General features: G+C 46.6%; 1 protein-coding gene and 2 long non-coding RNA genes across 13 annotated transcripts in view, besides 3 other annotated features; 2 read left to right on the plus strand and 1 right to left on the minus strand.

Moving 5' to 3' along the window:
* VPS53-AS1 (VPS53 antisense RNA 1) overlaps positions 1–2,555 on the plus strand; it is a 28,617-nt gene extending 26,062 nt beyond the window's left edge. The window contains exon 3 of the long non-coding RNA XR_007065570.1: positions 838–2,555. This is a non-coding gene — a long non-coding RNA (VPS53 antisense RNA 1). The remainder of the gene's footprint in view (positions 1–837) is intronic.
* Positions 1–27,912, minus strand: part of VPS53 (VPS53 subunit of GARP complex) — a 206,172-nt gene that overhangs the window by 40,131 nt on the left and 138,129 nt on the right. For 10 of the 11 annotated variants that reach the window (XM_047436345.1, XM_047436344.1, NM_001128159.3 and 7 more), the window contains 4 exons: positions 13,705–13,947; positions 11,628–11,775; positions 4,582–4,664; positions 3,074–3,152 (listed from right to left, as the gene is read on the minus strand). In XM_047436345.1, coding sequence (XP_047292301.1) covers positions 3,074–3,152; positions 4,582–4,664; positions 11,628–11,775; positions 13,705–13,947 — 553 coding nt within the window. Of the gene's footprint in view, positions 1–3,073; positions 3,153–4,581; positions 4,665–11,627; positions 11,776–13,704; positions 13,948–27,912 lie in introns of those variants that run through there. The other variant, XM_047436351.1, reaches the window with a different exon arrangement.
* Positions 7,086–7,542, plus strand: LOC124903891 (uncharacterized). Its single transcript, XR_007065571.1, has 2 exons — positions 7,086–7,221; positions 7,418–7,542. It is a non-coding gene; the product is annotated as an uncharacterized LOC124903891 (long non-coding RNA).
* Positions 11,203–12,402: an enhancer, noted in NCBI's record as "CDK7 strongly-dependent group 2 enhancer chr17:463241-464440 (GRCh37/hg19 assembly coordinates)". NCBI's record gives its function as "activates an origin of replication core promoter dependent on BRD2, BRD4, P300/CBP, MED14 and CDK7 cofactors, with strong dependence on CDK7, by STARR-seq in HCT116 cells {active_cell/tissue: HCT116}" and the evidence as "EXISTENCE:reporter gene assay evidence [ECO:0000049][PMID:35650434]".
* Positions 12,418–12,467: a silencer, noted in NCBI's record as "silent region_7940". NCBI's record gives its function as "represses an Ori minimal core promoter by ATAC-STARR-seq in GM12878 lymphoblastoid cells {active_cell/tissue: GM12878}" and the evidence as "EXISTENCE:reporter gene assay evidence [ECO:0000049][PMID:35858748]".
* Positions 23,431–24,315: an enhancer, noted in NCBI's record as "NANOG-H3K27ac-H3K4me1 hESC enhancer chr17:475469-476353 (GRCh37/hg19 assembly coordinates)". NCBI's record gives its function as "activates a minimal SCP1, AML or CMV promoter by ChIP-STARR-seq in naive and primed H9 embryonic stem cells {active_cell/tissue: H9 hESC(naive and primed)}" and the evidence as "EXISTENCE:reporter gene assay evidence [ECO:0000049][PMID:30033119]".

The following is a 27,912-nucleotide window of genomic DNA, read 5'->3' on the forward strand; positions in this document are numbered from 1 at the left end:
CTCTTTAGCTTCCCTAACCTCTCTTTACTCATGTTTTCACCCTGTTTGAACTGCCCTACTAATCACAAACTCATTCAGAATTTCGCCCTCATCTGTTTCAAACACCACTTCCTTACGAGGGCCTTCTTTGCCTCCCCACCTGGATATGAACTCCTCCCTCTTTAAAAAGGGTGTATTTTGTACTTTTCTTATGGCACTGATTTCCTCATCTCTTATATTAAAGTTACTGGGTATTGCTGTCATCTTACACATCTCTTGCCCTCAGCTACTGGAATCTAAACACCTTAGCCAAGGGTTTATGCCTTTCTGAGCCTTGCAGCTCCCAGCACTGTGCTGGGCAGGGTCTGAACTGAACTGTTTAACCAGCAGCAAAAATGATAGAATCAGAGACAGAAATAACCATTATCACAAAAGTTTTTTTAAATCCTAGAAGAAACTACACAAAACAGGATGCAGGCATCAAGAACACAGAATGTGTGTTGAATCAATTTGTGACCACTTGGCTTGTTTATTTCCATCACATGGATTTTATTTTGCTAGAACTCCAGAAGACTCAGACAAAAAGTAATGGCCTCCCAGCTGCTGCGTTCCCAAGTCTGTGGTTTTCCTATGATATAAACAAAGGACTCTGGAGGCACGGTCTCTGTTCGTATTTGCTGGTGTGGGCACGGGGCAGAAGTGGAGGGTGGGACGGGGCAGGGTTTGAGGGAAATCCACCGAACGAACCGACAGTTCGTATAAGCAACACTTGCAGTGTTAAACCCCTTCCAACCGTGATTTTATTGAAAAAAAAAAATCCCACTCTTCCTTTGGTGAATGTGAAAATTCTTTCGGCAGCTGCATTCCGATCTGAAGTGTGTGGCAGTTCAGGAGAGATGGCAGCTGGCACAGATCCCACTCAGGATGTAGAGAATGCTTACCAGCAGCGAGGGGATCATGAGAGCTGGCAAAACGAATCCTCTAAGCAGATGGACTGGCCTCACTTTGCCTGCTCAGAGTGTTCTCCTGTGAATGCTGAGAATACTGGAAGTACCCATCAGCACCGGACTGCTGAAAAGATCAGCTTTTTGAATAAAACTGTGACATCAGCTATTTTAGGACTTGCCACTTCAGTTCATAAAACCCTAAAGCCTACATTTTGGTTTTAATCTTATTTTTGTTAAATATTTACAATCTACTGCAAAACCAAATTCAGACCAAATGTCTGCTTACACAACCTTGTGACATGGTCATTCCTCCTGACAAGAGGGAGAGGGAACTAACATTTAATGAGCATTTACTATGTGCCTGGCACTAGACCCGCCCGTTCCATGTTTCATCCTCACAGCAATGCTGGGAGGCAGAGATCCACAGTTCACTTGGGGTATGTGGGCCCAGATGATGTCACGTTGGCCCAGACAGGTGAATCATTTGCTCAACACCCCAAAGGAAACCCTGGAGGAGTTAGGTCTGTCTGACTCTAAAGTTAGTGTTCCTCCCACTGCCCTCTGGTACTGGCCAGTATAACCTAGATAAATTGTTTCTCCAGAATTTGCTACAAGAGCCTATGACTCTAGAGCAGACATTGGCAAACTTTTTCTGTAAAGGGCCAGACAGTAAATATTTAATTTTTTTAGCTTTGTGGGCTAGTCTCTGTTGCAATGGCTCAATTCTACCACTATATTGCAAAAAGGCAGCCATAGATAATACATAAATAAAGGAACATGGCTGTATTCCAATAAAACTTTATTTTCAAATACAAGCAGTGGGCCAGATCTGGTTCCCAGGCTCTAGTTTGCCAACCCCTGCTCTACAAAGTTCTAGAGTTGCAGCTGCATGTTACTTGGGTTTAGCATAACAAAGGCCCATTTCCAACTTAATTAACAAAAATGAATCTCCCATATTCAAGACTACAAGAGAGATAAAAGAGGGGGTGAAAGACATGGTCTGTGCACTTACGGAATTGACATTCATTTGGGAAAAAAAGGCATAGGCACATAAAAGTCAAAAATAGGAAGATGAGGTAGCGCTCAGTAAGTGCCAAAGGAGGAGACTTGAGGGCCAAGGGCTGACTGATGGGCCACCACGATATTAGAAAACCAGAGTTCACAACCTGATCAAATACTCTTACATTGGCACCAGAGCTCAGAAGGAGTTGGAAAAACCTCTCAGTGGGCAAGAATGAAGAATGAGTCAGAAGTTACTACTTTAAGCACTAATGAAAACACCCATTCTGGTGAGACCACACCAAGGTTTTTAGCATGTGTCAGATACTAATCAAAGATAATACGTAAATAAAGGACATGGCTGATTGGTTTTTAATTAACAAAAATGAATCTCCCATATTCAAGACTACATGAGAGATAAAAGAGGGGTGAAAGACATGGTCTGTGCACTTACGGAATTGACATTCATTTGGGAAAAAAAGGCATAGGCACATAAAAGCCAAAAATAGGAACATGAGAGGAACATGAGGTAGCGCTCAGTAATTAAAAATGATCCATCTCAGCTGGGCACTGTGGCTCATGCCTGTAATCCCAGCACTTGGGGAGGACTCGGTGGGAAGACTGCTTGACGCCAGGAGTTCAGGACCAGCCTGGGCAACATAGCAAGACTCTTAGCTCTACAAAAAATTTAAAAAGTAGTTGGACACAGTGGCATGCACCTGTGGTCTCAGCTACTTGGGAGGCTGAGGCAGGAGGACTGATGAGCCCAGAGGGTCAAGGCTGCAGGGAGTCATGGTGGCACCACTGCACTCCAGCCTGAGTGACAGAGAGAGACCCTGTCTCTAAAAAAATATAAATAAACCACAGACAACATCTCCTTTAGACTCATCAAACACATTTACTTCGTCTCTTTTTTTTTTGCCATCCTCCAATACTGTGATGCTCTGTCTCATTCTAAAAGGACAAGCAACTGAACTGACGCAGGTGCGACACTAACTGAGTGCTTTCAGGAACTCCGGGGCCTCTCCATTCTCCTCAGCTGATCCTTTACGCTCCGATGAGCCTGGAGAAGCTACAGACAAGGGCCAGTAGAAGCCACCTTGGGCTGCTCTCGTTAGTTTGTAGGATGCCATTTCCCAAGACCTTACCTTGCTCATGGCAGTCAGGGCAGGATCACAGGCAGCATCCAGATCCTGAACCAGCAGCTGAATACTGCTGGAGATGACGCTGCAAATCAAACAAATCACTGTGGTCACCCTTTCAAACAACGGCCGTCTGAATGACTGACACTCAGGCCCCTGTGTAAAAATCAGATTCATCATTTCACTGGCAAAGTTTGAGCTTTAATTAATGACAGCGGAGGAACAGCTTGGCTCTTTCTTCATGTCCTGGTTTTATCTGGGTGTGTCCTCACCCAGTCAGGATATAGAATCCCACGGTCAGTCTCCCTAATCACCACCCCAGTATCCCTGTTCACATCTTCCTCCCAAAGAACCTGCTTCCCAAAAATGTTTAAGTCAGAACTGAAGAAAATAAAAAGCTAAGAAAAGTGGAGGAAATAAACTAAGAAGAGAATTTTGATTCTTCGTCAATAAGTGGTTGATGTGAAAGCTGAGAATTTTGATTCTTCGTCAATAAGTGGTTGATGTGAAAGCTGAGAATTTTGATTCTTCGTCAATAAGTGGTTGATGTGAAAGCTGAGGCCTGGCCCATGCCTGTCTCATTTAATGGCAGTGGAACAGAAACTGACCACAACAAAAATACCACAAGGTCCTAACAGGGAAAGAAGACTTTACTGTTAGAACTTCCTGGACGGACCTCCCCTGCCACTCCCACACTCTTATTCCCTCGGTGGCTAAATTTAAGCCATTTATACTTTATACTTTAAAACACTGAAGGTAGGCCTGGCCTTCTGTGGGTTTAGGTGGGGGCAGATCAGCAATGGCCAAGGGAGAATGTCTTCTCTGTGGTTATTCTTCACAGTGAGACAATGAAGACCCCATAAGCTAAAAGAGCAACTGCATCTGAGGAGGTACAATGGCAGCCCAGTTCTGAAGCTTCTTCTTAGTGGCCAGTAGGGACTCATTCTGACCCAACAGAAACCTCTTAGGTTCTGTAGTGACTAAAGCCAACAGCCTGAGGCACGCTGCTGTGTAGTGGAGAAAGGGCAGGCAGCGAGCAAGTGTGTACAAGGTATATACGTGCCGCACGCTGCTGTGTAGTGGAGAAAGGGCAGGCAGTGAGCAAGCGTGTACAAGGTATATACGTGCCGCACGCTGCTGTGTAGTGGAGAAAGGGCAGGCAGTGAGCAAGCGTGTACAAGGTATATACGTGCCACATGCTGCTGTGTAGTGGAGAAAGGGCAGGCAGCGAGCAAGTGTGTACAAGGTATATACGTGCCACATGCTGCTGTGTAGTGGAGAAAGGGCAGGCAGTGAGCAAGCGTGTACAAGGTATATACGTGCCGCACGCTGCTGTGTAGTGGAGAAAGGGCAGGCAGTGAGCAAGCGTGTACAAGGTATATACGTGCCACATGCTGCTGTGTAGTGGAGAAAGGGCAGGCAGCGAGCAAGCGTGTGCAGGGTACATACGTGCTGCACGCTGCTGTGTAGTGGAGAAAGGGCAGGCAGCCAGTAAGTGTGTGCAGGGTACATACGTGCTGAACGTGTCCATCTCTCCAGTCAGATTGATTCGTTCAATCAGACTTACATCCACTTTTTCTTTGAGTTTTTCTTCTAGCTGTTGAAAAACAGAAGAAATGGATGCACGGTTAATGATTATCCAAAGAAGTACCATCACAATAATAGTTAACATTTACTGCGTTTGATGATTCAGGCATAATTCCATACACTTTTTTTTTTTTTTTTTTTGAGACTCGCTCTTGTTGCCTAGGCTGGAGTGCAGTGGTGCGACCTCGGCTCACTGCATCCTCTGCCTCCTGGGTTCAAGCAATTCTCCTGCCTCAGCCTCCCGAGTAGCTGGGACTACAGGCGTGCGCTACCACACCCGGCTAATTTTATATTTTTAGTAGAGATGGGGTTTCACCATGTTGGTCAGGCCGGTCTCAAACTCCCAACCTCAGGTGACCTGCCTGCCTTGGCCTCCCAAAGTGCTGAGATTACAAGTGTGAGCCACTGTGCCTGGCCAATCTTACAACCTTATGAGGAAGATTCTATTATTATCATCGTCATTTTACAGATCAGAAAAATAGAGGGGGGGCCTACCCAAGATAGAAGTGGTAGGGCCAGGAATCAAACTTCCTCCAGAGCCTGTGCCCTTTAGCACTGTGCAGTACTTGTTTCTTACCACACATCAATAATTCACATCAACTCATTCTGAAAAGACGCTGATTTTAAGATACTCCCTGCCCCATGAACTACAGACTTGCCCACCCACAATGGAAACCTTTGGTGTTGAGTAGCAGTAAAACCAGCTAAAATAGTCAGTGAATGCTACTACGGGCCAAGCACCTCATTAAGGCATTGGGGATACAGTGGTAAACAAAAGAAATGTGGTCCCTGCCATCATCAGCCGACAGCCGGGGACAGAAACACTCAACACGCTCCTGGCGCTCAAAGAAAAATAACGGGACCAAGACTTGTAAATACTTGGAGATATCCCTGGGAGTTGATTAATCTAGCACTGTAAACCTATTACACAAACTCTAAGAATAGCTAATGTTTTGGCCTTTTTTTTTGAGACGGAGTTTCACTCTTGTTGCCCAGGCTGGAGTGCAATGGTACGATCTTGGCTCACTGCAACCTCTGCCTCCAGGGTTTAAGTGATTCTCCTGCCTCAGCCTCCCGAGTAGCTGGGACTACAGGCGTGCATCACCATGTCCGGCTAATTTCGTATTTTTAGTAGAGACGGGGTTTCACCATATCAGCCAGGATGGTCTTGAACTCCTGACCTCAGGTGATCCACCCACCTCCGTGTCCCAAAGCACTGAGTAGCTGGGACTACAGCTGGGATTACAGGTGTGAGCCACCGTGCCAGGACAGAATAACCAATGTTTTGTCTTAAATTTGAAAATGCTGTTGGGGTGCATAAATTAGCATAAACTTTTTGGAAGGCAATTTATTCAAAAAGCAAAACTTTAAATACACATATTGCCTAAACCAGCAATTTCACAACTAGAAATGCATTTCAATGAAATAAGGAGAATAACATACAAAGATATGCAAGTATTTTTTGCAGCATTCATTAATTCAACCAATATTTAATGAGAGCCCGCTTTGTTCAGGCTGTGTAACAGAATAAGAGAGTTATTTAGTGAACAAAACAGATCAATACTGTTCTCATAAAGCTGGAAACAATCTACATGTGTATTTACAAAGGATAAAACAAATTATGGCACAGGCTTATCATGCTTAAACTCTTCAGCAGCCTCTTCCTATGACACCGAAAATAAAATCCAAATTCCTAACCATGAATTGGGTCCTGCCCAGCTTTCTGGCCCCGTCTTGCCACTTTCCACCTTGCCTGCTAGGCTTCAGTTACACTGGCCTTTTAAATTTCTGGGAGACACCAGGGTCCTTCGCCCTCAGGACCTTCATACTTCACACTTCCTTATTCCTCTCCCTGAAACATGGCCTGCTCAGCCCTGCTGACCCACTGCCTTGCTTTGCCGCACCCCCACTTTCTAAGCCCTCCAGGCTCCTCACTTTTTGGCCACATGTTGGCCATGCTGGTCTCAAACTCCTGACCTCGTGATCTACCCGCCTCAGCCTCCCAAAGTGCTGGGATTACAGACGTGAGCCACCACGCCCGGCCCTAATTTTTGTATTTTTAGTAGAGACGGGGGTTTTACTATGTTGGCCAGGCTGGTCTCGAACTCCTGACCTCAGGTGATCCACCCACCTCGGCCTCCCAAAGTGCTGGGATTACAGGCGTGAGCCCCTGCACTCGGCCAGAGTATCATTCTTTATACCTCCTAATGGAATAATGGATCTGGGCTTTGAGCATCAGAGGCTGCTGACATCACACAAAGAGCAACCAAACATTATGTATCTTGATGACAGACGTACAAAACATCATTATGATGTAGTTTTCTGTAAAAAAGAATCTGAATCAGCTCAGGCTTCTACATCTAACTACCAATTTATGGGAAATACGAGACAAAGTAAAATGTCCATTAATACTCGTGGGTGCAATCAGGAAAATCCAAAACTTGGGAAAATCTACAGGGCAAACAACACAGTTTCTTTAAGAAAAGATTGCAGAGGGGGCAAAGGGAAATGGAAGAAGAAACCAGAGACTTAATAATCTGAGCAGGCTGGACCCAGTGGCTCACCCGGTAATCCCAACTCTTTGGGGGCTGAGGCAAGAAGATCACTTGAGCCCAGGAGCTCAAGACCAGCCTGAGCAACACAGTGAGACCCTATCTCTACAAAAAATAAAAAAATACTGGCCAGGCATGGTGGCAGGTGCCTGAAGTCCCAGTGTAGTCCCAGCCACTTGGGAGGCTGAGGGTAGGATCGCTTTCGTTCCAGGTTTCAGTGAGCTGTGATCAAACCACCGCACTCCAGCCTGGGCAACAGATTGAGACCCCATATTAAACAAAAAGAATCTGAGCAACAAGGAATTGGAAAATAAAATTTAAAAGCAACACCAATAATACATCATTATTGGTTCATTAATTGTAACAAATATTTCATATCAATGTTAATAATATGGGAAACTGGGTAAGTGGTATATGGGAACCATACAAACGATCTTTGCAATTTTTCTGTAAATGTAAAAGTATCCTTAAAAGTGTAGTTTATGTTTTTTAAAAACTATTTACAATAGCAATTCATAACATCGTTCTGTGGTTTGATTGTGTTCTCCAAAGTTTATGGGTTATAAGCTTAATCCCTGAAGCCACAGTGTTGAGAGGTATGAGGTCATGAGGGCTCTGGCATCATCATGGGTTAATGCCATTATCTCAGGAGTGGGCTCTTTTATTCCTTCAAGAGATCTTTATTAAGCACTTATTACGTACCAGGCATTGTATTTGGTGCTAATGAACAGAGGTGAACAAAGTAGACTTTCTGGCATGTAACTTAAAACTAATGGGGGCGCCAGATAATAAGGAAGTAAGCCAGCCGAGACGTAACTTCGGTTTTGTGGTGTTAGGAAATAAATTTGGCAGTGCTGGAATAAGGGAGCTACCTACTGAAGGGGGGTGGCCAGGAGGGCCTCTCTGCTGAAGGGGGGTGGCCAGGAGGGGCTCTCTGAGGAGGTGATACTGAAGCGGGGACCTGAGGCTTGGGGAATGAGACTGCCAAGTGAGAAGCCACCACACCCGGCTAATTTTTGTATTCTTTTAGTAGAGACGGGGTTTTGCCATGTTGACGAGACTGGTCTTAAACTCCTGACCTCAAGTGATCCACCCTCCTCAGCCTCCCAAAGTGCTGGGATTATAGGCATGAGCCACCGCGCCCCCACTCTTCTGGAAGCTCTGAGGAAAAAACTATTTACACCTCTCTTCTAGCTTTGGGTGTTTGCTGGCAATCCTTGATGTTCCTTGGCTCATAGAAGTCTGACTCCAGCCTCTGCCTCCTTCTCACGGCCTTCTTCCCTGTATCTCTGTGTGTTCAATCTCTCTCTCCTTTCTAAGGACAACAGTCATTAGATAAGGCCCCCCACCAATCCTAAATCCAGGACCATCTCATCTTGAGATACTTAATTACATTTACCAAGATAAAGTCACATTTACATGTCCCAAGGCCTAGGACTTGGACATATTTTGGGGTTGGGGGGACACTTCAACCCACTATATCTCCCTGGGTCCTCTTGAGATGACACTAATAGTCTTTGATATTTTTCTTGCTTTTTGTGTAACATGATGTTCTGATTCATCTTGTAGATTTCCTGCCCTTGACCTGGAATTAGTCATTTCTCCAGGAATCTCTGGTTTCTTTTAGTGGAAAATTGTATTTAGAGATCACAATAAAGGTGCTAAGAATGTATTACTTTTGTAATCAATAAAAACAATTTTCACTAAATAAAAAATAATTGGCCACTTGTATCATCAGTCATCAAAATGGTCTTCAACTTATTTCTAGAACTTCTAAGAGTCTGTTCTAGAAAACTAATGCAAAACATTTAAGATGCTATATTCAGAAAGACATTCTTTGTAAGGATTATCTTTTTTTTTTTTTTTTTTTTTAGAGACAGGGTCTCACTCTGTCACCCAGGCTGGAGTGCAGTGGTGTGATCATAGCTCACTGCAGCTTTGACCTCCCAGGCTCAAGCGATCCTCCAACCTCAGCTTCCCAAGTAGCTGAGACCACAGGCATGTACCACCACACTCAACTAACTTTTAAATTTTTTGTAAAGACCAGGTCTCACTATGTTACCCAGGCTGGTCTTGGACTATTGGCCTCAAGCGATCCTTCCACCTTGGCTTCCCAATATGCTAGGATTACAGGCGTGAGCCACTGTACCCTGCCAGGATTATCTATAAAAGCAAAATTTTGGCTGGGCATGGTGGCTCACGCCTATAATCCCAGCACTTTGGAAGGCCAAGGTGAGTGGATCACGAGGTCAGGAGATTGAGACCATCCTGGCTAACACAGTGAAACCCCGTCTCTACTAAAAATACAAAAAATTAGCTGTGTGTGGTAGCGGGTGCCTGTAGTCCCAGCTACTCACAGTGGCTCACGTCTGTAATCCCAGCACTTTGGGAGGCCAAGACGGGCAGATCACAAGATCAGGAGATCGAGACTATCCTGGCTAACACAGTGAAACCCGGCCTCTACTAAAAATAAAAAAAAATTAGCCAGGCGTGGTGATGGGAACCCGTAGTCCCAGCTACTCGCGAGGCTGAGGCAGGAGAATGGCGAGAACCCGGCAGGGGGAGCTTGCAGTGAGCCGAGATCGTGCCACTGCACTCCAGCCTGGGTGACAGAGAGAGACTCTGTTTCAAAAAAAAAGCAAAATTTGAAGCACTATAAACAACGATCAGGGATGCTTGCTAAATAAGTTATGGTACAAGGCCGGGCACAGGGGCTCACACCTGTAATCCCAGCACTTTGGGAGGCCAAGGCAGGTGGATCACAAGGTCAAGAGTTGGAGATCAGCCTGGCCAAGATGGTGAAACCCCATCTCTACTAAAAAAAAAAAAAAAATACAAAAATTAGCCGGGGATGGTGATGGGCATCTATAATCCCAGCTACTCAGGAGGCTGAGGCAGAAGAATTGCTTGAACCTGGGAGGTGGAGGCTGCAATGAGCCAAGATCATGGCCACTGCACTCCAGCCTGGAAGACAGAGCAAGACTCTGTCTCAAAATAAATAAATAAATAAATAATTTATGGTATAGTCCCTTAAAGAGAAATATTATGTGGCCATAAACAATGATAGTAATAATGACCCTGTAATGATAGTTATGATTATTACTATCATTATAATGACAGGAGAAATGCTAATGCTATGTATGACACTAACAATAAAAGGATATAACAGTGAATTAAGATTGTAACATTCAAAACTATGTCTATGAATAACAATTGAAAAAATACCCCAAATTGCTAATATGATTATTTGAGGATGATGGGATTAAAAGGGATCTTTATTTTTTTAAATACTACGGTTATTTTACCTTTAAAATAGCATATTTACATGTATCGTATTTCTTTCTGTGCACACCCAAAATAGTTAAACAGTGTTTCTTCATGAAAGAACTCTGGAACCCCTGCCTTGGAGGTCCTTACAGATAGTGCCATCTTACCTGGGGAGTGGCCTGGGGCTAAACGGACTGCTCTGTGGCTCCAAGGCCAAACCCTGGAAGGTCATGACCTTCGCAACTCAACATGACCAGGTCCCCAGGCAGAGTGTGCTGCTGCCTCTGCCTCTGGCTGGCTTATGTGCCACTGAGGGGCCTTGGTAGACACACTTCCTATTTGACCTGCTATATTGCTGCCCTGGCACACAGGAGCTCCAAGCTGGGCTGTCTGAACTATCATTTATGACTGTCTTCTTGTGGTCTAGGCATCTGTAAATTATAAATACAAAGTGGGTAGAAGAGCAGAACCTTTCCAAATTACTTTCTTTCTCTTGGCCTCAGGGGAATCCCAGACCAAGTGTGAAAAGGACTTCTAATTCCATGTTTAAGGCTGAATCAAAGGTTATTCTGGGTCTTCCTTCTGCTCCATCAGTTGCTGAACTATGGCCATGTGGGGGCCTCCAGCAGAGGCATCACCCTTTCCTGTCCCCCAGTTCCTAAACGTCAGCATCCCAAACAATGGCTATTTGTTGAGGCAGATTGAAAATGCCATGTAAATTTCAGAAGACACATAAAAGCCCAAAGGATTCTGCTTAACTTAGTAACACTTCTGAGCATGGAATAACTGGCTGTGACTCATCATCACCAAAGGCTGGGTCCTAGCACAGACAAGCTTGTTACTGCTTTTCTCATATGGGTTGGAGTGCTACTGACCTACTTTTAACAGGTCATGCCCTTTGAGGAGCTTACACAACTCCAGGGAGGTGACCAGTCATACTTTCTTGCCCAGTCTTCTTTTAACAAGGCCTTTCTGTAAGACAGCTGCCTGGGCAGCCTTATGGCTGGACACTGAGCTTTCCTCTGTGGCAGGCCAACTGGTCTGACCCAAGGTTGTCTGTGGCCATGTTAGGACGTATATTCTTACTCGCCGAGCGACGCAGCCCAGAGGGTTCAGGAAAAGGAGGTGGTGAGTGGGCAGCCAGGATGGCTCACCTGCTGGGTGGTGGCCAGACAGTACTCTGCCGTGCTCAGGATGTTACAGATGAGGCAGAGCTCCTCCAGAGTGAACTTGGCTACTTCTGAGCCCTCCTTTTCCTTGAGGAGGCTGCTGATAGTCAGTCCTCCACTGCTGGTTGTGGTTCTGAAGAAAAGGAACAGGAACAAGTCAGCATGGAATTTCTAATTTGCTTCCTGAACTGGAAACTACATTATTTTAAGATACAGAAAAGGGGGAAGTAAAGGCTGGACATGGCCCAAATCAATTCACATACAATGAGTCCTTTTCCTACTGACCTTACCTTGACACCGTCAGAAATAGGAAGAGATGATTCCTATTTTAGTTAATCTGAATCATCAGCAGGCCATTAGTCACATTAACTAGGATGGTCTAATATCCAAAGGGAAGGCTGCTGAGCTGTCCTCTCTTTAGCTTGGAATCTCCTGATGTGCAGAACTCATTTAGGACCGTGTGGAGCACGAAAGATGGTTACCTACCCTGTTTCTTTCAGTTAAGAAAAGTCTGCACTGGGACTCATGTGTGCTGGTGGAGGAGGACATAAGCGCATGTTAAGAGAAGTCTGCACTGGAACTCATGTGTGTTTGTGGAGGAGGACATAAGTGAATGTTAAGAAAAGTCTGCACTGGGACTCGTGTGTGCTGGTGGAGGAGGATATAAGCGAATGTTAAGAGAAGTCTGCAAGGGGACTCATGTGTGCTTGTGGAGGAGGACATAAGCGAATGTTAAGACATGCTTCCTGCCCAAGGCCCTAAGTGTCTCAAGAGGCCAACACCCATCACACATCCTCCTGTGACTACAGGTTTTGGGGCAGCCCCAGCTACTGAGTGAGTTCTATGGTAGTAACCACTACCCACTCATATCTGGATGCTTTGGAATCCTCTGTTGGCTCCTTTCACCTTGCCCCCACTTCTGTGAACAGTCTCTCTACTGACATAATCCCAGCTGAGTATGCCATTTTTTTCTGCTGAGATGCTGACTAATACACGTGGGAAAATGCTCCCACGATGAAGTTAAACGGTAGCTGCAGGGAATAAAGCTATAAGCAGTATAGCCCCAATTCCGTGACACAAACAAACAAAAGCACACAGATCACACACATTAGGTATCTATCAAGAACGGAAAAATATATACAAAAAGTTACGTTCTCTTTGGGTAGTGGGATTATACATAATTTATTTATTTATTTATTTATTTTTTAGGGCGGAGTCTCCCTGCAATGCCCAGGCTGGAGTGCAATGGCACAATCTCGGCTCAGCGCAACCTCCGCCTCCCGGGTTCAAGTGATTCTCCTGCCTCAGCCTCCCGAGCAGCCGGGACTACAGGCATGCACCACCACACCCAGCTGATTTTTGTATTTTTAGTAGAGATGGGGTTTCACCATATTAGCCAGGCTGGTCTCAAACTCCTGACCTCAAGTGATCCTCCTGCCTCGGCTGCCCCCAATCCTACCGCATCTTCAAACATTAGGCTATGTCCAGTTCTAATGCCTCAGGATAACACAATAGTCCCCATAATTAGGAGCTATGCAGTAGCTGACCCCCAATCCTACCGCATCTGAAACATTAGGCTCTGTCCAGCATGGCAGGAAGTGTGCACCACAAGAGGGACTTGGAACCTACTGGGAATGAGGAAAAAGCAGATTCATTCCTCCAACCCATCACTCCGGGGCATCATCTCACCAAAAGAGGCTTGGGTGAAACTGCTTAAGCTATTTATCAGTTATTTCCACCACAACCTCACTTTTTTTGTATGTGCCAAGTATCTATAGCTGAATCCATGAAAATTAAATAGGCATACAATGGGATTGGTTCTCGAGTCCACCGTGGTAAGATTTGCCCACGTGGGCAGTCAGTGTGGACATTTCCTCTGATGGTCTTGATCAGCTGTGGAATGTCAGAGAGGAAATAGCTTCAGGCCCTCGGGAACTCAGGAAGCGTGCTTTCCTCCTTGATACTCTTGGTGGTTTAGTAAACAACTTCAGAGTGGATTTCCTTAAGATTCCCATATTTAGGTCTATTTGCCACCACTCAGACTATGAAGAACAGGACTCACTTGGGCAGGTTGCCAGAGAGGATTTTCCAGGCGTATTCTCGGAGGTACTTCTGGAAAATGGTGGTCAGGGCGATCATGGGCTCCCCAGTACTGAGCTGAGAGCATTGCACCATGCACTTCTTGTAGTAGACAAAGAGGTCGGCGCAGCTGGGGAGCACGGCACCCCCTTCATCAGTGTTGGGCTTAGGTGGCCCCTGGGCTTTGAAATCAGCCACAAACCGATCTATCAGCTCTCCGAGGTTCCTAGGAGGAAAAAAAAAAACCAAAAATGTTATTTTACTTCAAGAAAAGTAAAGCAAATGTGCTCGTTTGCAATGTACATAAACTACTGCCACAAGTAATCATTCCTACTGCATTTAAAACTTAAAATCGGATCGATTTTAATCAATATCATCATTCACTACCACCACCACTCCTACAACAGCAGTAATAAAATCTGACATATGAGATTCTAATCTCTAAGTCGATTGACATTTGTGCTTTATACTTTTCAAGGCATTTCATTATCATATTGGACTCCAAACCCCTGTAAGCAAGATAGGGTATTACTGGTCCCGCTAAAAGATGAGAAAATTAAGTCCTAGAAAGTTTCTCACAAAGTCTGTGGCAGAGCTGAGCCTAGACTCCAATACTAAAGTAAGAAACTAATCCTTCTATCATATTAGTACTGTTTACCCCTCCAAAAAGGAAAACCCTAAATCATGATAGTGATCGTTTTCTGAACACTTGAGATGCACCAGGTATTATGTCCATGCTTTATACCCATCTCACTGAACTTCATTTCCTTTTTTTTTTTTTTTTTTTTTTTTTGAGACAGAGTCTTGCTCTGTTGGCCCAGGCTGGAGTGCAGCGGCATGATCTTGGCCCACTGCAACCTCCATCTTCAGGGTTCAAGCAATTCTCCTGCGTCAGCCTCCCATGTAGCTGGGACTACAGGCACACGCCACCATGCCCAGCTAACTTTTATTTTCAGTAGAGACAGGGTTTCACCATGTTGCCCAGGCTGGTCTCGACATCCTGACCTCAGGTGATCCACCCACCTTGGCCTCCCAAAGTGCTGGGATTACAGGTGTGAGCCACTCACTGCGCCCAGCTCATTTACTTTTTACAATAAACTTACATAGTATGTATTATTACTATCCTCATTTTCAAAGAGTTAAGTACAGAAAAGTTGAGTACCTTGTCCAGAGTAATACAGCAAGAAAACAGGAGAGCCACGATTAAAAACTAAGCAGCCTGGCTCTAAGCTTCAAGCCTTTAAGCACTCTACTTCCTAAAAACAAAAAGGTTATGATGTCAGCACATATTTAGACATCACGAACCTAAATGTGCCCAAGAGACAGATGCCTAAACAAAGAGAAACTGTGAAATGTGTTATAATGGTTTCTTTCTCCTCCGATTTAGTTTTTTCTTAGAACTTCCAGAATCAAAGGTTTAAAAAAATCTTAGGAAAAGAGAGGGTACGGGCAGAGTGTGGTGGCTCAAGCCTGTAATCCCAGCACTGTGGGAGGCCGAGGCGGGCAGATCACTTGAGGACAGGAGTTCGAGACCAGCCTGGCCAACATGGCAAAACCCCGTCTCTACTAAAAATACAAAAATTAGCCGGGTGTGGGCCGGGTGCGGTGGCTCATGCCTGTAATCCCAACACTTTGGGAGGCCCAGGCGGCGGATCACTTGAGGCCAGGAGTTCGAGACCAGCCTGGCCAACATGGCAAAACCCCGTCTCTACTAAAAATACAAAAATTAGCGTGGTGTGGGCCAGGCACAGTGGCTCATGCCTGTAATCCCAGCACTTTGGGAGGCCAAGGCAGGCGGATCACAAGGTCAGGAGATCAAGACCATCCTAACACGTTGAAACCCCGTCTCTACTAAAAATACAAAAAAAAAATTAGCCGGGCATGATGGCGGGTGCCCGTAGTCCCAGCTACTTCAGAGGCTGAGGCAGGAGAATGGCATGAACCCGGGAGGCGGAGCTTGCAGTGAGCTGAGACTGCACCACTGCCCTCCAGCCTGGGCAACAAAGTGAGACTCTGTCTCAGAAAAAAAAAAAAAAAAAAAATTAGCTGGGGGTGGTGGCGCATGCCTGTAATCCCAGCTACTTGGAAGGCTGAGACCTGAGGCAGAGAATCACTTGAACTCAGGAGGCGGAGGTTGCTGTGAGCCCAGCTCACACCACTGCATTCCAGCCTGGGCAACAGAGCAAGACTTGATATCTGGAAAAAAAAAACAAAAACCAAAACAGGGTATGAGCAGCTCCAGACTTGCCTCAGGCCACAGTGGGGATGAGAGTTGCAATTTTTCTCCGATTTCCCATTCAAACATCCCTGTAATTGTTCCGTTGAATTGTGTCATCACCTGTGAGGATCCAGCAGAGCTGCAGTAACTGCTGCCTGCACAGCTGTGCTGTGTGAAGAATGGGAAGGGTTCCCACCACTCCTGACATGTTGCATCTTTTTAGGTTGCCGTTTAAGGCTATAGGAATCCAGCTGTGTTTTAAAAATGTATTTATATAATGGTAAGGAAGAAAAAGACAAGAACCACACATACCACCAATTAGCAGGAATAGGAGAAAATTGACATTTTACTCAAAGGCTTTTGTTATTGAAAGTCTATTATAGGCCCAACGTGGGGGCTCACACCTGTAATCCCAGCACTTTGGGAAGCCGGGGCGGGTGGATCACCTGTGGTCGGGAGTTTGAGACCAGCCTGACCAACATAGAGAAACCCCGTCTTCACTAAAAACACAAAAAATTAGCCAGGCGTGGTGGCGGGTGCCTGTAATCCCAGCTACTCGGGAGGCTGAGGTAGGAGAATCACTTGAACCTGGGAGGCGGAAGTTGCAGTGAGCCGAGATCGTACCATTGCACTACAGCCTGGGCAACAAGAGCGAAACCCCATCTCAAAAAAAAAAAAAAAAAAAAAAAGAAAGAAAAGAAAAAGAAAGTCTATTATATCCAGATACAACCACTCTGCCCTCAAAGAGCTTCTGGCCTAGGCTAAGTCTCTGTCTGTGGTGATAGTGAGAAAGCAGGGAAGGATCTCGTTGGTTGACCTCGGAAAGCTTCATGGCCACCACTCTTGTTCCTCATAACCTCTCTTGCCTCACTTTCCCACTGAATCTCCCACCTCTCCTCCACAGCTGACCCAACACTCCAGCCAGAGGTTCCTCGCAACAGCTCCCCTGCTGGCCTACTCCCGGTCAGTGGGCCTCGCAACGGCTCCCCTGCTGGCCTACTCCCGGTCACTGGGCCTGTGTGACGTCCTGGCCAAAACGCTCTCCCACCACCTGTCCACTCCCCTTTCAAGCTCATCCAGGTCTCACCCGCAGCAGCTGCAACTTCTGTCATCTGCCACCCACCAACACTTTATTTAACACTTTATTAGACAGTGCGAGGATGCCATATATTCAAGAAATAACCGGCCGGGCGCGGTGGCTCACGCCTGTAATCCCAGCACTTTGGGAGGCCGAGGCGGGCGGATCACGAGGTCAGGAGATCGAGACCATCCCGGCTAAAACGGTGAAACCCCGTCTCTACTAAAAATACAAAAAAATTAGCCAGGCGTAGTGGCGGGCGCCTGTAGTCCCAGCTACTTGGGAGGCTGAGGCAGGAGAATGGCGTGAACCCGGGAGGCGGAGCTTGCAGTGAGCCGAGATCCCGCCACTGCACTCCAGCCTGGGCGACAGAGCGAGACTCCGTCTCAAAAAAAAAAAAAAAAAAAGAAAGAAATAACCTATCTTCTCCCATCCTGGGCCACGGTAGGCAATGCTAATCAACAAGGAGCCCTTTCTTCACTGATCTCTCTTGTGATTCCAGAATCCTTCTTGAGACAGCACTCCAGCCAGTCACCTCTATCAACTGAAGTTGGTACAAAAGGCGAAGGAGGTAGAATCATCTGTTTCGTGCCTGTTAACACAAGCTCCCTGAGAGGAGGAATGACGTTTATGCTGGTTCTGCTGCCCCCGGCCCGCCCGTCATGCCAATGAGTGGAGTGAAGCTTCATGCTAGTGCTCGATACATACTTACCTGATCAACCTCCACACTTTGTTCCTAGGGGATGGGAATGGAGGGTGGGAAGGTGGAAACGGGATGGAGGCCGGTGCAGTGGAGGAGAACATGGAACAGAAGGCAAAAGATTCCCCTGGGGTCTTCTTATGAGATTCTAATCTCTAAATTGATAGTGCCAACCAAATCAGGGACCAGAGCTCTGACATGGGTGTTTTTTTTGTTTTTTTTTGTTTTTGTTTTTTGCTTTTTTTGGAGACGGAGTCTCACTCAGTTGTCCAGGCTGGAGTGCAGTGGTTTGATCTCAGCTCACTGCAACCTCTGCCTCCCGGGTTCAAGTGATTCTACTGCCTCAGCTTCCTGAGTAGCTGGGACTACCGGCACACACCACCACAACCGGCTAATTTTTGCTTTTTTTTTTAGTAGAGATGGGGTTTCACCATCTTGGCCAGGCTGGTCTTGAACTCCTGACCTAGTGATCGCCCGCCTCAGCCTCCCAAAGTGCTGGGATTACAGGCGTGAGCCACTGCGCCCAGCCGACTCTGATGTGCTTCCAGGCGTGAGCCAACGCGCCAGCCAACTCTGATGTGATTCTATTTTCATCACTCACCTGTTCCCCTAGAAGATGGATACTTACTTACTTGCTTCCTATTTCAGAGCCACCCCAATGAGTAAGATTATAAACTAATTATGATCATACAGCATAAAGAAAATGTTCACTTCAAAAAGCTCTAAAGATCTATACTTTGTAGAATGTCTACAGGATGTCTACTCGGTTACTTCTGACATTGTTCTTTCAAGTGGATGAGAAATAAACCAGTTGGGGAAACCTTCCCCTGCCTTCCATCTTTCACCCTGCATCAGCATGCTTTGATGCCACATGAGACATTAGAAAATCAGTAGCCAGTATTTCACAGAACAGAAGAATGTAAGTTACCCCAATGGGAATGCGTAAGGCTCATTAGTTTTGAATACATGATCCAATCTGATCACATTTCTTTTTTTTTTTTTTGAGACAGAGTATTGCTTTGTCACCCAGGACAAAGTGCAGTGGCATGATCATGGCTCACTGCAGCCTCAACCTCCCAGGCTCAAGCAATTCTCCTGCCTCAGCCTCCCAAGTAGCTGGGACTACAGGCGTCCATCACCATGCATGGCTAGGAGGAGGCCAGGAGTTTGAGAATAGTGTGGGCAACAAAGTAAGATCCCTATCTCTAAAAAAAAATAAACAAATTAGTTAGGCATGGTGGTGTGTGCTTGTAGTTACAGTTACTTGGGAGGCTGAGGGAGGACGATCATTTGAGCCCAGGAGTTTGAGGTTACAGTGAGCTATAATGCCACCACTGCACTCCAGCCTGGACAACAGAGCAAGACATTGTCGAAGGGGAGGGGAGGGGAGGGGAGGGGAAGGGAGAAGGAAGGAAATACCTCCTTCCCGAAATACTGCTGGGAGTTCCACTGATAAATTACATGCCCTAGGAATGAAGACAGTTGCAGAGTGGTATCAGTAGAGGGAAAAACTAAAGTGAGGAGAAAAAATATGCCATTGCAGACTGGGTTTATCCATGGATGGCCAAGGCCATTTCTCTGGTGGGCCTGCAGTCAGCATTCACAGAAACAATATTCTAATTGGAATGTCAAGCAGTGAGGCACAGGGAGAGAAAGACAGTAGCCAGAAGATGGCAACGCAGGTGAGCAAGGTCAAGGCAGCTGAAGATCCCCATTAAGTTAGATAACTTATTTATTTATTTTTTTATTTTTTTGAGACAGGGTCACCCAGGCTGGAGTGCAGTGGCATGACCACAGCTTACTGCAACTTCTGCCTCCCAGGCTCCAGCAATCCTCCCACCCCAGCCTCCTGAGTAGCTGGGACTACAGGTGCACACCACCACACCTGGTTAATTTTTGTGGGCTTTTTTTTGTAGAGACAGGGTTTTGTCATGTCACCCAGGCTGGTCTCGAACTCCTGAGCTCAAGCCATCCACCTGCCTCAGCCTCCCAGGGTGCTGGGATTACAGGCACGAGCAACCATGCCCGACCCTAGAGCTTCTTAATTCAAGGGTACTCCCACTAATTTGCATCCCTTCCTCTTCCTTTTTGCTGGGGCTGAGGATGTTGCTCTGGTGTGGCCAGTGGGGCTGGGGAGCCAAGGTGTGGCTTGAGCACAGCTGGGAGATGGGTTACATACAGGCAAACTGAGCAAATAGGTAAATATACTGAGCATGCTAGGACCCAAATTTCTCACTGTTGTAGAAGGCAGTTGCCAACGTTGAATGGGAGAGGCTAAAATAAACCCTGTGGTGTGAGATTAGAATTGAAGGCATCAGCATCAAATGCACAGGTTCTAATATAGAAGCAGGTGCACACACAGCTATAGAGGCATATATGTAGAAGCAGGTGCACACACAGCTATAGAGACATATACACGTATGTTTATACACACATACATTTCTTAGCTCTCTCAGCCAAGGCAATCTGGAAGCAATGACACCGAGCAGCAATGAGCATACTTGGTTTCTAAATGTCATCCTCCACCAAAGGAACAAGAAATGCCTGGGGAAATGGACGACTCCAGGGCTGGGATACAAAAGTACAGGATAAGCCTAGTATATTTTATTGTGCCAGAGAGGAAGGAGGTGCTCAAAAAATGATAGTGGCATGTAAAAAGGATGAAGAGCCAGCTTTAAGAGGCTCCCACTGGCCAAGTCAGGGACAATTTGAGTACTAAAATAACAACGACAAATCCTGGAAGGAAAAACAGACACTAATGGAAAAACTGGTGAAGTTCAAACACGGTGTGCAGGTTATTAAATAGTAATGTACCAATGTTAACTTGCCAGTTTTGACAACTCTGCTGTGGTTATATAAGATGTCAACATCAGGGGAAGTTGGGTGAAGGGGAACATAAGAAATCTGTACTATTTGTGAAATTTTCCTATAGGTATACATTTATTCCAAAATACAGTAAAAATAAAAGAGATAGTGATGCCTACAACCTACTGAATAAAATATAAAAATCCATGAGTCCATGCTGACATAGACATAAGGGGGAGAAGTGACAGCTTTTCTTAAAGTAGAATGCCAACTGATAAACGCAGAAGAAATGATGTAGCTAGAAAAATCACCATTTGACTGGGCGCGGCAGCTCATGCCTGTAATCTCAACATCTAGGGAGGCCGAGGTGGGCAGATCACTTGAGGTCAGGAGTTCCAAACCAGCCTGGCCAACATGGTGAAACCCCGTCTCTACTAAAAATACAAAAAAATTAGCTGGGCATGGTGGCGAGCATCTATAATCCCAGCTACTTGGGAGGCTGAGGCAGGAGAATCACTTGAACCCAGGAGCCGAGATTATGTCACTGCACTCCAGCCTGGGCGACAGAGCAAGACTCTGCCTCAAAAAAAAAAAAAAGAAGAAAAATCATCATTGTCAATCATCTTAGTAATAAATTACATGATAAGTGAAAGATGAGGAAAAGGATATTGATAAAGTTTCAAGGTTTCTCCCAACACTTATTAATAAATAGAGATACCCAGTAGAGACAACATCTACACCAAGTAATAAAAACGAACATCATAGGCTGGCCGTGGTAGCTCACGCCTGTAATCTCAGCACTTTGGGAGGCCAAGGCGGGTGGATCACCTGAAGTCAGGAGTTCAAGACCATCCTGACCAACATGGCAAAACCCTGTCTCTACTAAAAAAAAGACAAAAATTAGCTGGGTGCAGTGGCGGGTACCTGTAATCCCAGCTACTCAGGAGGCTGAGGCAGGAGAATTGCTTGAGCCCAGGAGGTGGAGGTTGCAGTGAGTGGAGATCGCACCACTGCACTCCAGCCTGGGGAATAGAGTGAAACGACTCTGTCTCAAAAAAAAAAAAAAAAAAAAAAAGAACATCACATCACAAGTTTTGGGATAAACTGGCATTCTGTGCCTCCTGATATGAATTCCTAGGAACACAGGACCACTTCTGCATAAATCATAAATAATGAGGAAACATCAGACAAACCCAAACTGAGGGAAATTCCAGAAAGTAATTGGCCAATCCTCTTCAAAAATGTCAAGGTCATGAAAGACAAAGAAAGACTCAATTAGTCTTCTGGGTTGAAGGAGACCAAAGAGACATGACAACTAAATGCAACCTGTGATCCTAGAGCTATTTAAACAAACAAACAACCTGCGATCTGAGAGCTATTCAAACAAATAAACTAACAACCTGTGATCCTAGGGCTATTCAAACAGGCCAACAAACAAGCAGATTGGGACAACTGCTGAAATGTGAGGAGGAGAGCATGGATGAAGCAGTAATACTGTATCACTGTGAATTCCCTGATGTTGATAGCTGTACTGTGGTTATGTGAGGGGTCTGGGATTAAGCAGTAATGTTGTATCAACGTTAATTTCCTGATGTGGACAGTTGTACTGTGGTTATGTAGAAACCTTGTTTCTAAGAAATATATATTGAAGTATTAAGGAGTAGTGGCGAATCTTGTCTGCAACTTGAGAATTCAAAGGTTCAGGAAAAAAGTACAGGTTGGGCACAGTGGTTCACGTCTGTAATCTCAACACTTTGGGAGGCCAGCAGATCACTTGAGCCCAGGAGTTTGAGACCAGCCCGAGCAACATGGTGAGACCCTGTCTCTACAAAAAAACAAAAATTAGACTGATGTGATGGCCTGTGCCTGTAGTCTCAGTTACTCTAGAGGCTGAAGTAGGAGGAGGGGAAGGGAGAGGAAGGGAGGGGAGGGGTGGGGAGGGGAGGGAGAAGAGAAAGGGAAAGAGAGAAAAAGAAAAAGAAGGAAGAGAAAAAAGAAAAGGAAAATGCATGCAGTGTCTGTGCATTACGTGTGTGGGGGAGATAACTATTAATGAGGAATCTGGATGAAGGCTATACAAGGGCTCTTTGTATAATTCTTATAATTCTTCTGTAAGCTTGAAATTAATTCAAAATAAACAACAATGGGCTCTCCCTCTCCCTCTCCTTCTCCCTCTCCCTCTCCCTACAGTCTCCCTCTCCCTCTCCCTACGGTCTCCCTCTCCCCACGGTCTCCCTCTCCCTCTCTTTCCACGGTCTCCCTCTGATGCCGAGCCGAAGCTGGACTGTGCTGCTGCCATCTTGGCTCACTGCAACCTCCCTGCCTGATTCTCCTGCCTCAGCCTGCCGAGTGCCTGCGATTGCAGGCGCGCGCTGCCATGCCTGACTGGTTTTCGTATTTTTTTGGTGGAGACGGGGTTTCGCTGTGTTGGCCGGGCTGGTCTCCAGCTCCTAACCGCGAGTGATCCGCCAGCCTCGGCCTCCCGAGGTGCCGGGATTGCAGACGGTGTCTGGTTCACTCAGTGCTCAATGGTGCCCAGGCTGGAGTGCAGGGGCGTGATCTCGGCTCGCTACAACCTCCACCTCCCAGCCGCCTGCCTTGGCCTCCCAAAGTGCCCAGAGTGCAGCCTCTGCCCGGCCGCCACCCCGTCTAGGAAGTGAGGAGCGTCTCTGCCTGGCCGCCCATCGTCTGGGATGTGAGGAGCCCCTCTGCCTGGCTGCCCAGTCCGGAAAGTGAGGAGCGTCTCTGCCCGGCCCCCATCCCATCTAGGAAGTGAGGAGCGCCTCTTCCCGGCCGCCATCCCATCTAGGAAGTGAGGAGCGTCTCTGCCCGGCCGCCCATCGTCTGAGATGTGGGGAGCGCCTTTGCCCCGCCGCCCCGTCTGGGATGTGAGGAGCGCCTCTGCCCGGCCGCGACCCCGTCTGGGAGGTGAGGAGCGTCTCTGCCCAGCCGCCCCATCTGAGAAGGGAGGAGACCCTCTGCCCGGCAACCGCCCCGTCTGAGAAGTGAGGAGCCCCTCCGCCCGGCAGCCGCCCCGTCTGAGAAGTGAGGAGCGTCTCCGCCGGGCAGCCACCCCGTCCGGGAGGGAGGTGGGGGGGTCAGCCCCCCGCCCGGCCAGCCGCCCCATCCGGGAGGTGAGGGGCGCCTCTGCCCGGCCGCCCCTACTGGGAAGTGAGGAGCCCCTCTGCCCAGCGCGTCTGGGACGTGTGCCCAAGAGCTTATTGAGAACGGGCCATGATGACAATGGCGGTTTTGTGGAATAGAAAGGCGGGAAAGGTGGGGAAAAGATTGAGAAATCGGATGGTTGCCGTGTCTGTGTGGAAAGAAGTAGACATGGGAAACTTTTCATTTTGTTCTGTACCAAGAAAAATTCTTCTGCCTTGGGATCCTGTTGATCTGTGACCTTACCCCCAACCCTGTGCTCTCTGAAGCATGTGCTGTGACCACTCAGGGTTAAATGGATTAAGGGCAGTGCAAGATGTGCTTTGTTAAACAGATGCTTGAAGGCAGCATGCTCGTTAAGAGTCATCACCACTCCCTAATCTCAAGTACCCAGGGACACAAACACTGCGGAAGGCCTCAGGGTCCTCTGCCTAGGAAAACCAGAGACCTTTGTTCACTTGTTTATCTGCTGACCTTCCCTCCACTATTGTCCTATGACCCTGCCAAATCCCCCTCTGTGAGAAACACCCAAGAATGATCAATAAAAATAAAAATAAAAATAAAATAAAATAATCAACAATGGTAATTAGTTTACAGACAGATGCTAGGCTCTAGAAAAGCATGAGTTCTAGTCTAACAAAAGTTATTAGAGGGAACTCAGGAGAATGGGCAGATATGGAGTCACCAGTAACTTCCCTGATGGAGAACGCCATAGAATGGGGTAAAGAAAGTGCCTATGTAGAAATTTCTTTTGCAAGAGTCAGCCAGAGGAAATCACTAAATGCCAAGGGTAGAAGACAGACTAACCTCCTCTTTGAACATAAATAAAAATTGAGAAAGCCATTTAAAGGATGTAAGGACGGCTTAGCCCAACCTGCTAGTGGCCATCCCCACTTCCTGCCTCCTCCCTGAGTACTGGCTCTGCAGTCCTCCTACTGCTACTTGGCTTTTGGCTGGGGCAGATGCTGCCGGAACTTTCCCTTGGCAGGTGGGAGGCTGGGGAGATGAGAAGGTGGACCCCATGCCAGGCTCAAGAGAAATCTGGCCACACTGACAAGGCCACCCACCCACATAGGAGTCCTGAAAAAGATGAGAGGGATGGCAGGGCAGGCACTGTTCCTGAGCACCATTTACTGTGTGCTGAAGGTGAAAATGCCACCTCTTCTCCTCCTCGCCACAAAGTCCATGAGGTCGGCCTTATGATCCTCACAGTGTAGAGGGGCTAGCTAGGAGCATGCTCAAGGTCCCAGCCTAGCAAGCGCGAAGCCTCACATCTAGGTATGTCTGGGATCAGGCCCACGCTCTTTCCACCACACTGTGTTGCGTCTCTGTCATCTGGGAAGTTATGAATGGTCTCATGCTTTCTGAGTTAGAGCTACAGCAAAAGTAGTAATGTGCACAAAACCAGTCCCCACCTGAGTTCCTTCTCCAGCCTCAGGATTCTTTGAAGGGAAGAAGCAGTTCCTAGAACTCCTTGAAATTACACTCAAAATAGTGTGTGCATGATATGGATTTTTTTGACAAGAGCGTCGATGCTTTCCATTGGGTTCTTAAAAAGGATCTATGACTTTAAAATGGTTAATAACGAGTGCGTTGGGCATTATTTTGTCTGACTATCTCTCTTGACAGATAAGGAAATGGAGTTCTTTGAACTCTATTTTCTACTTTGAGTTACAGTGTTTATTCTGCAGGAACAGCAGCACAGCCTGCGCAGTATCTGCTCCTTCCTTAGTGCTGCGGAAACTTCCTAGTGAGGCCAAACAGCAGGGTAAGTGGCCAGCACTTCATTTTTCACAGGAAAATGGAGAGTCCCCAAGGAAGGGAGGCCTGGCTCCTTGCCCAAAGTATCATGAACAATGAGTATACTTTGTATAAATCAAGGCCATGTGAAAAGAGTGGATGCCAGAATTACAATAACTCAGAAAAATGACCCTTTAAACCAGGTAGGTTTTGGGAAAGGATGTGGCTACCTCAGACATGTGCTTTAAACCCTGGGCCTTGGCTGGGCGCGGTGGCTCATGCCTGTAATCCCAGCACTTTGGGAGGTGGAGGTGGGCTGACCTCTTAAGCCCAGGAGTTCGAGACCAGCCTGGGCAACATGGCAAAACTGCGTCTCTACAAAAAATACAAAAATTAGCCAGGTGTGGTGGTGTGTGCCTGTAGTCTCAGCTACTTGAGAGGCTGAGTAGGAAAGACTGCTGAAACCCAGGAGGTTGAGGCTACAGTGAGTCCTGATCACGCCTCTGTACTCCATCTTAGCTGACACTGAGACCCCGTCTCAAAAATAAATAAATAAAAATAAACCCTGGACCCAGTAACTTTTAAGCCTTTTAAAACGAAAAATTTGGGTTAAGAGAAGATGGGGCTTTGGCTGAAAAGAGTCATCCAGGGGGGTTCCTCAAAGACCTGTGACTCTAATAGGCAAATAACCAATCCTTTTTCCTGCCCCTCAGGGGTGTCTTAGTAACTTCCTGGAGGCAAACTGTGAATGTAGAAGACAGGGTGCTCTCAAGGACAAAGAGGCAGAAGTCCCCACTGTACCTCGGTGTGCCTGCTGGGCACGTGCCCACTGGGCAAGAGCAAGGGCACTACTGGGTCTTTGCAAGGCAAATGACGGCAAGGCAACTTGCCTTTGGTGGTGGGCTGATGGGGAGACTTCCATTTGATGATGGAGAAGCTACTGGGCAAGTTCATTTTCTGAGATTTTAATATGAAGTACTTTGTAATCGGGCATGAAAAGCATAGAAGCAGTCCATAAAATCACGTGAGTGAATAATACAGTTCCATGTGAAGTTTCTAATTGAAACATTGTCTTACTGTTACGGTTTAAGAAACATGTTTGAAACTAAGAATGTGCTCACCCATGATAGAAGCATTAAAAACAAGGGGAGGGGTGAAGTGCAATCAGACCTAAATGCGTAAATGCAACCCCAGAGAGCCTCCCTAAAAACCTAATACGTTCCCAGAGAACTTCCCTCAGAACCTAACGCGTTCCCAGAGAACTTCCCTCAGAACCTCAATGCGTTCCCAGAGAATGTCCCTCAGAACCTAATGTGTTCCCAGAGAATCTCCCTCAGAACCTAATGCGTTCCCAGAGAACCTTCCTCAGAACCTCAATGCATTCCCAGAGAACTTCCCTCAGAACCTAATGCATTCCCAGAGAAATTCCCTCAGGATCTAATGTGTTCCAGGGAACCTCCCTCAGAACCTCAATGCGTTCCCAGAGAACCTCCCCCAGAATCTAATGCTTTCCCAGAGAACCTCCCTCAGGACCTAGTGCGTCCCAGAGACCTTCCCTCAGAACCTAATGCGGTCCCAGAAGACTTCCCTCAGGACCTAATGCGTTCCTAGAAAACTCTCAGAACCTAATGCGTTCCCAGAGAACTTCCCTCAGAACCTAATGCATTCGCAGCGAACCTCCCTGAGACCCTAATGCGTTCCCAGAGAAATTCCCTTAGGACCTAAATGTGTTCCCAGAGAACTTCACTCAGAACCTAATGCATTCGCAGAGAACCTCCCTCAGAACCTAATGCGTTCCCAGAAAACCTCCCTCACAACCTAACGCGTTCTCAGAGAACTTCACTCAGGACCAAATGAGTTCCGAAAAACCACCCCAGAACCTCAATGTGTTCCCAGAGAACCTCCCTCAGAACCTAATGAGTTTCCAAAGAACCTCCCTCAGAACCTAATGTGTTCACAGAGAACCTCCCTCAAACCTAAATGGTTCCCAGAGAACCTCTCTCAGAACCTAATGTGTTCCCAGACAATCTGCCTCATAACCTAATGCGTTCTCAGATAACTTCCCTGAGAACCTCAATGCATTCCCAAAGAACTTCCCTCAGAACCTAACGCTTTCCCAGACAACCTCCCTCAGGACCTAATGCATTCCCAGAGAATCTCCCTCAGAACCTAATGCATTGCCAGAGAACCTCCCTCAGAACCTCAATGCATTCCCAGAAAACATACCTCAGAACCTAATGCATTCCCAGAGAATCTCCCTCAGCACCTAATGTGTTCCCAGAGAACCTCCCTCAGGAGCTAATGCATTCCCACAGAACCTCCTCCAGCACCTAATGCGTTCCCAGAGAACCTCCCACAGACCTCAATGCATTCCCAGAGAACTTCCCACAGAACCTAATGTGGTCCCAAAGATCCTCCCTCAGAATCTAATGCGTTCCCAGAAAAATTTCTTCAGAACCTAATGCATTCCCAGAGAACCTCCCTCAGG

The sequence above is a fragment of the Homo sapiens genome, chromosome 17, assembly GCF_000001405.40.
Source record: "Homo sapiens chromosome 17, GRCh38.p14 Primary Assembly".
Taxonomy (NCBI): Eukaryota; Metazoa; Chordata; class Mammalia; order Primates; family Hominidae; genus Homo; species Homo sapiens.